The sequence below is a fragment of the Homo sapiens genome, chromosome 3 (assembly GCF_000001405.40).
Source record: "Homo sapiens chromosome 3, GRCh38.p14 Primary Assembly".
Lineage (NCBI taxonomy): Eukaryota > Metazoa > Chordata > Mammalia > Primates > Hominidae > Homo > Homo sapiens.
The window spans coordinates 128537400-128549937 of NC_000003.12; the positions used below are offsets into that span (position 1 = coordinate 128537400).

Genomic DNA, 12538 nt, shown 5'->3' on the forward strand with positions numbered 1-12538 from the left:
TGTCTAGCCCCTGGTGGCGCAATGATCACCTCCATGTTTGCCCTCCAGCCCAGGGGAAGGAGAATGAGGACTCCAGAGGAAACAGCTTATTGGGGCTCATCACTTCTCCTGGAATCTTATTAGCCCAAGCTTAATCACATGACCACGCTGATTACAAAGAGGCTGGGAAACGTGGTCACTAGCTGGGTGGCCATGTACATAACTAAAATTTGGAGTGTCTTATTACTTGTTAATATTTTTTGTTGAGGTATAATTCACTTACCATAAATTCACCTTAAAAACTTCTGTGATTCAATCATCTTGAATATATCCAGATTTTGCAACCATCACTCCTATCTAATACCACTGTTCTAATTTCAGAATATTTTTATCACCCCATAAAGAATCTCTGTGCTCCTTAGCAGTCACTCCTCACTCACCCTATCCCCCAACCTCTGGAAAGCTCTCATCTACATTCTGTCTCTATGGGTTTGCCTTTGCTGGACATTTCATGTAAATGCAATTATACATGCAGCCTTCTGTGTCTGACTTCTTTCACGTAACATATTTTATTGTTTATCTATGGCATAGCATACATCAGTGCTTCACTCTTGACTCCTTTTTTTTTTTCAGTAACAATGTTGGCATGGCTGTTTTTGTTTCTGCTCAGCCCCAGCCTGGTCCTCACCATCTCCTTCCACCTGCCCATTAACTCCTGAAAGTTCCTCCATGAGGAGATCCACAAGGACCTGCTAGTGATGGGTGCGTACGAGATCTCCAACAAGTCTGGGGGTGCTGGCAGCCTGCACAGCCACCTCAAGGTCACAGATTCTGCTGGCCACATTCTCTACTCCAAAGAGGATGCAACCAAAGGGAAATTTGCCTTTATCCTGGAAGATTATGACATGTTTGAAGTGTGATTTGAGAGCAAGGAAACAGGGTGGATACCTGATCAATTCGTAATCCTAGACATGAAGCATGGAGTAGAGGCAGAAAAGAAATTACAAGGAGATTACAAAAGTCGAGAAGCTTAAACCGTTATAGATGGAGCTGCAATGCCTAGAAGACCTGTCAGAATCTATTGTTAATGATTTTGCTACGTGAAGAAGAGAGAGATGTGTAGTACTAATGAATCAACAAACACTTGAGCCCTGTACTTCAGTGTCTCTTTAATGTTCTGCTTCATTGGACTAGCCACCTGGCAGGTTTTCTACCTGTGTTGCTTCTTCAAGGCCAAGATGTCGATTGAGTAATGAACGAAGTGCACTCTCCTCCCACCTTGTATCTCAGGCAGCAGAACATCACTGGGCATCCTACCAAAAGCACCATCAAAATGCACTGGAGCCCTCTTGCCAGAACTGATCTCTTGGTGGGGGAGGACATGGGTACCACCTACCCAACAAGTCAATGAGAGATTTCTTTTTAGCTGGTAGTATTTGGACTTGTTTTGCAACAATAGGACCAGTATTAGAGTCACCTATGACCAAAAATAAGGGTTACCAAATAATGCCAAAGCCAGGATTTGTGCTGGGTTTCCTTGTGCGATCTGTTTGAACCAAGTTTTCTTTCCTTCTCCCGCTTTCTCGGCAGCTTGAATTTCCACTCTAGTTCTTTTACCCAGATTGGTATGGCCATGTTGAACTTGTTTCCTTCTGGTTGTCTTCTTTGGGTTTCCTTGTGAAAACACCCTTAACTTTCCTTTTGCCTTTAGCTGAAATGTTTACATAGCTTCTGGTGATATCTTCTCATAATTTTATGTCTCTTAAAAGGTTGACGGATGTGACACTTCAAAAAGTGAGCTTTGAACTGAAGATAACTCTTAAAGAAAATATCATTTTAGACAATTAAAATATTTATGCTCCAAAAAGATATAATTTACATATCACTTTTTCACTGTTTTTATGGCTAAATAAAATTACATGGCATCAACATTCCATACTTTGCCCATCCATTCATCAGTTGGTGGACATTTGGATTGTTTATATCCTTTAGCTATTAGGAATAATGCTGCTTTGAACATAATGTAAGTTTTTGTTTGAACATTTGTTTTCAGTTCTCTTGGATATATACCTAGGAGCAGAAGATGGGTCATATGGTAGCTTCATGTTTAACTTTTCAAGAAACTGCCTGCTTGTTTCCAAAATGGCTGCACCATCTTACATTCCCCAGAAGCAACGCAAGAGGGTTCCAATGCTTCAACATCCTCACCATTGCTATCGTCCATCTTTATTACAGCCACCCTAGCGGATGTAAAGTGGTGTCTCACTGTAGCTTTGATGTGCATTTTCTGATGCACATCATTTTACTGATGCTGAGCATTATTTCATGTGTTTGTTGCCACTTGTCTATCTTCTTTGGAGAAATGCCCATTCAAGTCTTTTGTCCATTTAAAAAATTGGATTATTTGTCTTTTTATTGTTGAGTTTAAGGAGTTCTTTATATATTCTAGACACTAGACCTTCATCAGAGATATGACTTGCAAATATTTTCTCCCATTCCGCGGCTTGTCTTTTCATTTTATTGATAGTGTTTTTGAAACACGAAGTTTTAAATATTGATGAAGTACAATTTATCTGGCTTTCCTCCCCTTTGGTTGCTTGTGCTTTTGGTGTCATATCTACGAATGCTTGCCTAGCTCAGAGATTTGTGCCTATGCTTTTTTCTAAGCAGCAGTGATCCAATCAAAGCCACATTGCAAAAAAGACCCGCAGCTGACTGTGGTGTGGCCAGTAAATGGAGAGGGCAAAGGAGCAGGTATGGGGAGGTCAGTGAGGACACTGTGGCAGTGGTCAGGGAAACAGACAGACAGATGATAGCAGCTTGGTCCAGAGTGGTGGCAGTAGGAATGGAAAGAATTGGGCAGATTTCTGAATTATTAAGGAAGACAAACCTCAGAACTGAGTCTTCCATCTCCACCGTCCACCCACGTTACTCCTCCTCAGTCTCCTAACACACTTTTTTTAAAAAGAAAAAACTACTGAGGTGTATTTTACATGTCATAAAACTCATCCATTTCAAGTATAGAATTCAACAACTTGTGGTAACAAATACAATATGTGGCCTTTTGTGACTGGCTTCTTTCAATTAGCTTAATGTTTTCAAGGTTCATCATGTTGGAGCATGTAAATGGGCTTCATTCCTTTTCATAGCTGCATAATGTTTCATTATGCCACATACTGTTTATCCATTCATCAGTTGATGAGCATTTGGGTTGTTTCTACTCTTTGACTATTATGAATAATGCTGCTAAGAACATTAATGTACAAGTTTCTGTGTGGACATATGCTTTCATTTCTCTTATTTTCATTTTATTCCACCTAGGAGTGGAATTGCTGGGTTGTATGGTAGTGTTATGTTTAACTGTTTGAGAAACCACCAAATTATTTTTGTTTTCTTTTTAAGATGAGGTCTCGCTATGTTGCCCAGGCTGGTCTTGAACTCCTGGCCTCAAGTGATCCTCCCACCTCAGCATCCCAAAGCGCTGGGATTACAGGCATGAGGCATGCCACCATTACACACCCGGCCAGCCACCAAATTATTTTCCAAAGCAGCTACACCACCTTACATTCCCACCAGCAGTGTATGAGCATTCCCATCTCTCTACACCCTCGACAGTAATTTTGGTCTGTCTAATTTACTATAGCCATTCTAGTGGGTAAGAACTCACACACACTTCTGCTTCTTCTTGGCAATGCATCCATGTGGAGCCATGCTGGGGCTTTCCAGGACTGGCTGACTTTCACCTCCACTTGTAGAAAGAAGGGACATATCTGGCAATACTGTAGCCCCAGAGCTTGGTCCAGGGCCTAGAACTAAGGATGCACCCCTGAATGGCTCCTGGATGGATAATGGGCTGGGTGAGGGAGGTACATGGTGAGGGGGATACTGGTTTCAGTGCAATTGGAGCTCAGTGATATCTGAGAAGTCTGGGGGCTGGGAGGGGAGATGTGCATATCTAAGGACACCACCCACCGTATGATAGGGTATAGAAGAGGCAGGGTAACCTGTGTAGAAAATCAGCTCCCAGCCTCCTGCTCGGACCTTACCCTCAAGGAATGCAGAACCCCCTGTGTATCCCTTTCTCCTCCTGATATAGTTTAGATATTTATCCCCACCAAATCTTCATGTTGAATTGTAATCCCAGTGTTGCAGATGGGGCCTGGTGGGAGGAGTTTTGGTCATGGGGGTGGACCCCTCATGGCTTGGTGCTGTCCTCACTGTAGTAAGTTCTCACAAGATCTAATTGTTTAGGTGTGTGCCACCTACCCCCTCCCACTCTCTCTCTCTTTTGCTCCTGCTTTTGCTATATGAGGTACCTGATCCTGCTTCACCGTCCACCATGACTGTAAGCTTCTTGAGGCCTCCCCAGAAGCCAAGCAGATGCCAGCACCATGCTTGTACAGCCTGCAGAACCATGAACCAATTAAACCTCTTTTCTTTATAAATTACCCAGTCTCAGGTATTTCTTTATAACAATGCAAGAAAAGCTGAATATACCTCCCCACTGGAGCACTAGCCCCAGACCTGTCACAAGTCAGATGTCACATATGCTTATAGAGACAAGAAAGAGGACATGGAAGTCCCAGAGGGGCTGCAGGTAGTATCCTGGCAAGGGTTGAGCTCTGGAATTGGGATGTCTGGTTTGCCCCCCTCATCTTCTTGGGGCTAGGTGAGCTCCTTGGTATCCCTAGTTGGCATTCCCAATTGGAATCTGCAGACTCACATTGCCTGGATTTTTCCTGGGCTATTTCATGTGATCCAGACCCTGGGAGTGCTTCCTCTCTCAAGAAGCTCCTTTCATGCCCTGACACAAATTCCTCAGGTCTCAACCCAACACAGAAACCCACCTCAAAGCGACTTAAGCAAAACAGGTAATACATTGGCTCATGAGACTGAACAACCATGACCCACAAGGCTGGTGTGGGGGCTCAAAAGGTGGCTTCAGGAACCAGGCTGTGTCCATTTCTTTGTTCTTGTTTCCTCCATATGTCTTGACCCACCCCACAATGGCCACAGCATCTCCATCCTTACCTCTTCCTAGCTGAGCAATCCCAGCAGAGAAAGAGTAACTTTTCTCAGCACTTCTAAAAGGAATACCATGCCTGAGTCTCTTGGGCCTGGCTTGGGGGCAATGTCACAAGGTAATTCCTCAGGGATTCCAGCCTCCTCTTTATTCAAGGGATACCTGGTCTGTGAACTGGCTTTGGTCTGGGAACTGGATAAGGGACTGTGACTCCCTATTATGGCAATTCAATTCAGGGCTCTAGTCACCTGACCTAAAGAACCTTTTTTGTTGGTGTTTAGGCAGATCAAATTATATGACTTCTGCTTCTGGTCATGATGGTATAACAGGGAGTAGACTTACCCTCCCATCTTAAACAACTAAACAAAACAAAATATGCAAAACAATGGTTTTCAGATTTTACCAACAGTGCAGGATGATGATCTCTGAGGGAATGAAAACAAATGAGGTGAGCCCCATCGCTGTGCTGTCTCATCTCTGAAGGGAGTTTCAGGCTCCAGTGCTGGGAGGGAGGCTTAAACAGATTCTTGTGGTCTCCCTGATTTACAGAGACAGTGTTCAGAAGACAAGGTAGACAGAATTAACAAGGCAGAGTACCAGAAAGAGAGCTGAAGAGAGGGGGTAGGTGGTACTGAAATTCTGCACAGGGCTCTCCTTGGTTAGTCAGTGGAATACTGATCATTGCATGTATGTGAAGAAACTTGTGAGGCTAGGTAAAGAACCACGGAAAAGTAGCAGACAGAACAATCCCTAGGGTTGACACAGGGCCAGGAAGTGTTCATGTTCCCACTGGCCAGAATGGAACTCAACAATGGGGCCAAATTAGTCCTAGATTAAAGGCTATTCTGGGTCAATGCTTAAAAGCAAGTCACAAAAGAATCAAACTCTATCCCAGAACAAAGCACAAACAGACAAAAATCCAGCACCCAGGATCAAAACACTTATAAATCTGCTATTCAATCAAAAATCATCAGACATGCAAAGAAACAGGAAAATATAAGGAGAAAAATTAATCAATAGAAACAGATCAACAAATGACACAAATGATAGAATTATTAGATTATGGCATTAAGACAACTATTATAAAAATACTCAACATGTTCAAGAAGGGAGAAGAAAACATGAACATGATGAAAAGAGAAATTGAACATATAAAAAAGTCAAAAATTAAGCTTCTACAAATAAAAACTACAATGGATGGGATTAACAGCATATTAGACATTGCAGAAGAAAAATAAAGCAGGAAAAAAAGGAAAAACAAAGAACAGATGGCATAGAAAGAAACTAGCAATATGCTAGAATTAAATTCAGCCATATCAATCATCACAGTAAATGTAAATGTTCTAACATTCTAACTAAAAGGCACAGATTATCAGATCAAAAAAAAATTTTTTTTTTGAGATGGAGTTTTGCTCTTGTTGCCCAGGCTGGAGTGCAATGGTGCGATCTCGGCTCTCTGCAACCTCTGCCTCCCGGGTTCAAGAGATTCTCCTGCCTCAACCTCCTGAGTAGCTGAAATTACAGGCCTCCACCGTCATGCCTGGCTAATTTTTTTGTATTTTTAGTACAGATGGGGTTTCACCATGTTGGCCAGGCTGGTCTCAAACTCCTGACCTCAGGTGATCCACCTGCCTCGGCCCCCCAGAGTGCTGGGATTACAGACGTGAGCCACTGTGCACAACCAAATTTTTTTAAAATAAGACCTAACTATATGCTGTCTACAAGAAATCCATTTTAAATATAAAAGCTACAGATAGGTTAAAAATTTTTAAGTGGAGTGTAAATATATATATATTTCATTTGTATATATTATTATATATTATATATTTTATAATACATAAATATATAATATATTTCACTATATATTATTTCATATATATTCCATATATAATATGCATATTCATATATAATATGCATATTCATATTTGCCATATATAATATGCATATTCATATTTACCACATATAATATGCATAGTCATATTTACCACATATAATATGCATAGTCATATGTAATATGCATATTCATATATAATATGCATGTTCATATTTACCATATATAATATGCATATTCATATTTACCATATATAATATGTATATTCATATTTACCATATATAATATGCATATTCATATATACCATATATAATATGCATATTCATATTTACCATATATAATATGTATATTCATATTTACCATATATAATATGCATATTCATATTTACCATATATAATATGCATATTCATATATAATATGCATGTTCATATATACCATATATAACATGCATATTCATATTTACCATATATAATATGCATATTCATATATACCACATATAATATGCATATTCATATATAATATGCATATTCATATATACCACATATAATATGCATGTTCATATTTACCATACATAATATGCATATTCATATATGCCATATATAATATGCATGTTCCATATATTATATATTCCATATTATATATATTCTATATTGTATATGTTTCATATATATAATATATATTCCATATTGTATATATTTCATATATATAATATATATATTCCATATATATAATACACACATACCATGAAGTTACTCTTTTTGAAAAGCTGGGATGCTATACTAATATCATATAAAATAGATTTCAGGACAAGAACTATTGCCAGGAATAAAGAGGGACATTCCATAATGATAAAGAGTTACTTAGTCAAGAAAACATAAAAATCCTAAATATTAATGCACCTAATAACATGACTTCAAAATATATGAAGCAAAAACTAAAAGGAAAAATAGACAAATCCACAGTTATGGCTGGAGATTTCGACACATCTTCTCAATAACTGACAGAACAAGCAGACAGAAAATCAATAAACTTATAGAACAGAGGTCTGAAAACAGATTAGCCTTGTTTTTGTAAATAAAGTTTTATTGGAAAACAACCACAAACACTTTTTTATATACTGTTGGTGACTGCCTTCATGCTATAATGGCAGAGTTCAGTAGTTGAGTTGCAACAGAGATGGTATGGCCTCCACTGACAAAAATATTTATAATCTTATAATGTGGCTCTTTAAAAAAAGTTTGCCAATCTTTTTTTTTTTTTTTTTTGAGACAGAGTCTCGCACTGTCACCCAGGTGTGAGTGCCGTGGCGCAATCTCGGCCCACTGCAACCTCTGCCTGCCAGGTTCAAGCGATTCTCCTGCCTCAGCCTCCTGAATAGCTGGGATTACAAGTATGCGCCACCATTTCCAGCTGATTTTTGTATTTTTAGTAGAAACAGGGTTTTACCATGTTGGTCAGGGTGGTCTCGAACTCCTGACCTCAGGTGATTCACCTGCCTTGGCCTCCCAAAATGCTGGGATTACAGGCATGAGCCACCACACCCAGCCTGCCAATCTCTGATATAGAAGACATGAACAACATCATCAAACAACTTAACCTAATTACTGTTTATAGAACACTCCATCCAACATCTGAATACATATCTTTCAAGTACACAGAAAGCGTTAGCCAAAACAGACTGTATTCTGCACCATAATGGAAGTGTCAATATATTTTAAAGGGTGAAAATCATACTAAATGTCTCTTCTGACAACAATAGAATTAAATTGGAAGTCAATCCCCAACTAAATAACACACTTCTAAATAATCCATGAGTTAGCCAGGCACCATGGCTCACACCTGTAATCCCAGCACTTTGGGAGGCCAAGGAGGGCAGATCATGAGGTCAGGAGATCGAGACCATCCTGGTTAACGCGGTGAAACCCCGTCTCTACTAAAAATACAAAAAATTAGCCGGACGTGGTGGCGGGCGCCTGTAGTCCCAGCTACTCAGGAGGCTGAGGCAGGAGAATGGTGTGAACCTGGGAGGCGGAGCTTGCAGTGAGCCGAGATTGCGCCACTGCACTCCAGCCTGGGCGACAGAGCGAGACTCCATCTCAAAAAAAAAAAAAATTAAATAAGTAAATAAATAAATAAATAAAAATAACCCATGAGTCGAAGAAAAAAAACTGCAAATGAAATTAGAAAACATTGGAACAAATGCAAAGGAAAACATGGCATAGCAAATTGTGAGGCATGCAGATCAGGTCAGACTTTCGTAGGCTGACATGTACTGAGTTCAAGGACATCATGATCAATTAGACACCACCGAAGATCTCTCTGGGCCAAGCCATCCTGATTATTGCTCCAACCCACCTTATCTCTGGCAGTATGGGGCTACCTCCCGTACTCTCCTGCTTCCTCGAATCAGTTAACTTCCCCAAAACTTAGTGGCTTAAACACTAACCTTTTGTTTTGCTCGCAGTTCTGTGGAGCAGCTGAACGGTTCTTGTGTTCTGGGTAACCTGGACTGATTCCTGCTGAGCTCTTTCATGTGCCTATAGACAGCTGGTGGCTGAACAAGCCAGGATAACCTCACTCGCATATCTGGCAATTGGCTGGCTGTTGGCCAGAGTGCAGTGGCACTGGACACACATGCCTCTCATCGTCCAGCAGTCCAGCCAGACTTCACTGGGGCTGGGCTCCAGGGGCAGAAGGAAAGGGAAGAGCAAGCAAGCCCCAATGCACAAGGTCTTTGAAAGCCTTGCCCTGCATCACCTTTCCTACTGTTCCATTTTTCCAAAGCAGGTCACACGTCCAAACCCAGAGACAAGGTGTGGAGCAATAGACTCCACCTGGGAAGAGCTGCAGAGTGCGGTGGATGAGAGGAGAAGTATTCATGGCCATTGTTACAATTTATTCAGGGAGCTCATTTCAATGGGGACATCTCCCACTATCATCGCTGGCCTGCAAAGAATAGTCAAGGCACAGCCTTTCAAGATGCCCATGCTTCCCTCACCAATGTGTTACCCAAAGCTTTGGTCCAGAAAACATCGTCTGAACTCCTCACCCCAGGGATCATGGTTAGGTGGTAGATGAGTATTTGACTGCTCAAATCTCAATAACTTCCAGAGCCCTAGCTGTGAGGGAGTCCAGAAAAGGTACTTTGTATCCTTCCAGCCTCTGCAGTACAGGAAGGACCCCAAAAGGTGGTGACATGGATGCTGAGCACCAGTCCAACATGTCCGCCCACGCTGAGGAGCTTCATGAGGAGGGAGGTGAGCCCTGCAGCAACAGGGAAGGAGACAGGCAGGAGTTCCCTGTTGCCTGCTCCTATCTAGAGGCCTCAAACTCCAGCTAATTTAAGCCATGTCAGCAGGGACCTCCCACGTGCTGACTCAGGCCAGCCATGACTAAGGTCCAAATCAGTCTCAACAGGAGCAAGGCGGCCCCCATGCCGGCCAGACCCCTCCCGGCACACACTGTGCAGACCCAGAGCCTACAATAATCACAATTGTCACCAGCCCCACCATGTGCCAGGGACAGTGCTCTGCAGCGAGAGAGACCATCTTGTTTAATCCTCAAAACCACCAGGGGCAGGGAGGGGCAGTTCCATTCCAACGGGGATAAAAAGCAATGCTCAGAGAGGTGACGTCACTTACCAACATCACCTATAATAGTGACTGAGCTGGGGTTTGAATACAGATCTAAATGACAGGGAAACCTTCCCGCTGGGTTGCACAGCTGCTCTGCCTGTCATCTTCCAATCTCACTGGTTGTCAAGGGAGGACCTGCTCCCTAGGCACCCAAGGTGTTCTCTGCCCTTCACTTCACTCCACACCATGGAGAGCTGCCCCCAAGCCTGTACCTGGGTCTCTGAGGAGGTCTTACCCAGACCCTGTCCTGCTGCCCACAAACATGTCACTGGCTAAGAGGGATGCATTCTTCCCTCCAATCCAAGGAAAAACAAGTGTGTGATCACTTGAAAGATGACCCTGTATTTCTAACTGGATGTCCCTGGAGTCTGCTGTATTAGTGTGGGGGATGACAGCTGCCCTGATTCTATTTCCCCTTCCCTGAAGAACAGGCTTTTCCTAAGGGAAATTCCTTAGGATATTTTATGAGGATTGGCATCACCTCTCACAGAGGCACCAGAGTTCAACCTGTGGCCTATGCAGGGCCAATCACAGTCATTGTGATTATTTCAAGGATGGGCATATGACCCAGTTTGAGCCAGTAGTCAGCCAGTCTGGTGATTTTTTTCTGGCCCAAATGGAAAGGGGAAGTTTTCTTTCCACTGGAATTATTGAGCTGATTAATTATGAGCCTGAAGCCTTTGGGAACTATCCTGTTAACACAAGGAGAAAGTCTCCAGAGAAATAAGCCAACCCAGAAGCCCTAGAGCCAGCCATTCCTGAAGCTGGTGGAGCTTTGAAGTACATAGACCAACAATTTCTCTTTTATCCTGAAGGTGAGTTGGGTTTCTGTCACATGCACTCAAGTGGAACCCTGACTTCACTTTTACAATTTATTGTACCCAACAGGATCACGTTTTGCGAGGCATAAACTGTGCCCATTTCTCATCGAGTAAGAAATAAAATCCTCCAAACCCAACCCATCACATCAGTCATCCTGCTGTCTCCCTGCCAGGCCTGTCCAATCACCTCCTTATCTGAACACCCTCCCACCCCACACACAACGTGGCAGTTCCTCAGTAGCCGAGGCCACCCCTCCCTCCTTCCTTGACACCCACAGTCTGGCCCTCTGGTCCATCCTCCCTCCAAGATGGCCCAGGACTCCCCACAGGGGACACAGGCTCCAGGAGTGGGGCTGAGCAGAACAGCCTCAGGCTGATGGTCTTTGTGGACCATGCACCCTATCAGGAAAAAAACAGGGACACACCTCCATAATCATTTCTTTATAAATGACATACATTGCAACACCATTTGCATTTTATGTCTTAATAAAGCTGCATTAATTTCTTCTTTTAGATGAACGTTTAAATAGAAAGTCTCCTGTTTTCTTGCTTTTCATGGCCTATTGTTTCTATTTTCTTGTCTTTCACACTCTGTGGTGACTGCAGGGTCCGTCTGGTGGGGGTGGGGCCGTGGCTGGACTCTCCTTCCCGCCCCCAGGTTGTTTTCCAAACTTTCAGTATCGTGAGTAGAAGGAGGGGCCCTGCCTGGGGAGGGCCGTGTGAATCACCCCATGGAAATACTGGCGCCCTGGGCTGGGGGCAGGGTGGGCCTGGTTTCCAGGAAGGGCTTGGGCAGGAAGCCAGGCAGGAAGAGGCTGGGGAGTTTCTGGAAAGGCAGCGCGGAGGGGCCTGGGGAGGCCAGTGGACCTCTCGGGGCAGGGCACTGGCCTCCCCTCTCACAGATGGGGAATCCTTGGCACTTCCTGGCACATGCCAGGGCATGGGGGTGGGGGCAGAAGGCCAGGGAAGGAGGTGGCGGCCGATCCTCAGCAGGCCTCTAGGGTGGGTGGCCGTGGACAAAGAGGGGAGGGTGGGATGGACTTGGAGGAGGTGCCCTAGGGGCTCCTTTGAGCCTGGCCCCAGCACCTACAGCCTGTGCTTGGGGCTGAGGGTCCCATTGTATGACCTGTAGTTTCAGCCAGAAGGATACTTGGAATAAGAGGGGACAAAGGAGGCGGCAGTTTAAAGCGGTCGCTGAGCAGAGAATCCCGCTGATGGATGGGGACGGTGCTGCTCCATAGGGGGCCCT

At 43.4% G+C, this 12538-nt stretch overlaps 1 pseudogene, besides 1 other annotated feature; it reads left to right on the forward strand.

Moving 5' to 3' along the window:
- On the forward strand, nt 620-1432 carry TMED10P2 (transmembrane p24 trafficking protein 10 pseudogene 2; annotated as a pseudogene).
- Nucleotides 10237-10737: an enhancer, noted in NCBI's record as "H3K4me1 hESC enhancer chr3:128266479-128266979 (GRCh37/hg19 assembly coordinates)". NCBI's record gives its function as "activates a minimal SCP1, AML or CMV promoter by ChIP-STARR-seq in naive H9 embryonic stem cells {active_cell/tissue: H9 hESC(naive)}" and the evidence as "EXISTENCE:reporter gene assay evidence [ECO:0000049][PMID:30033119]".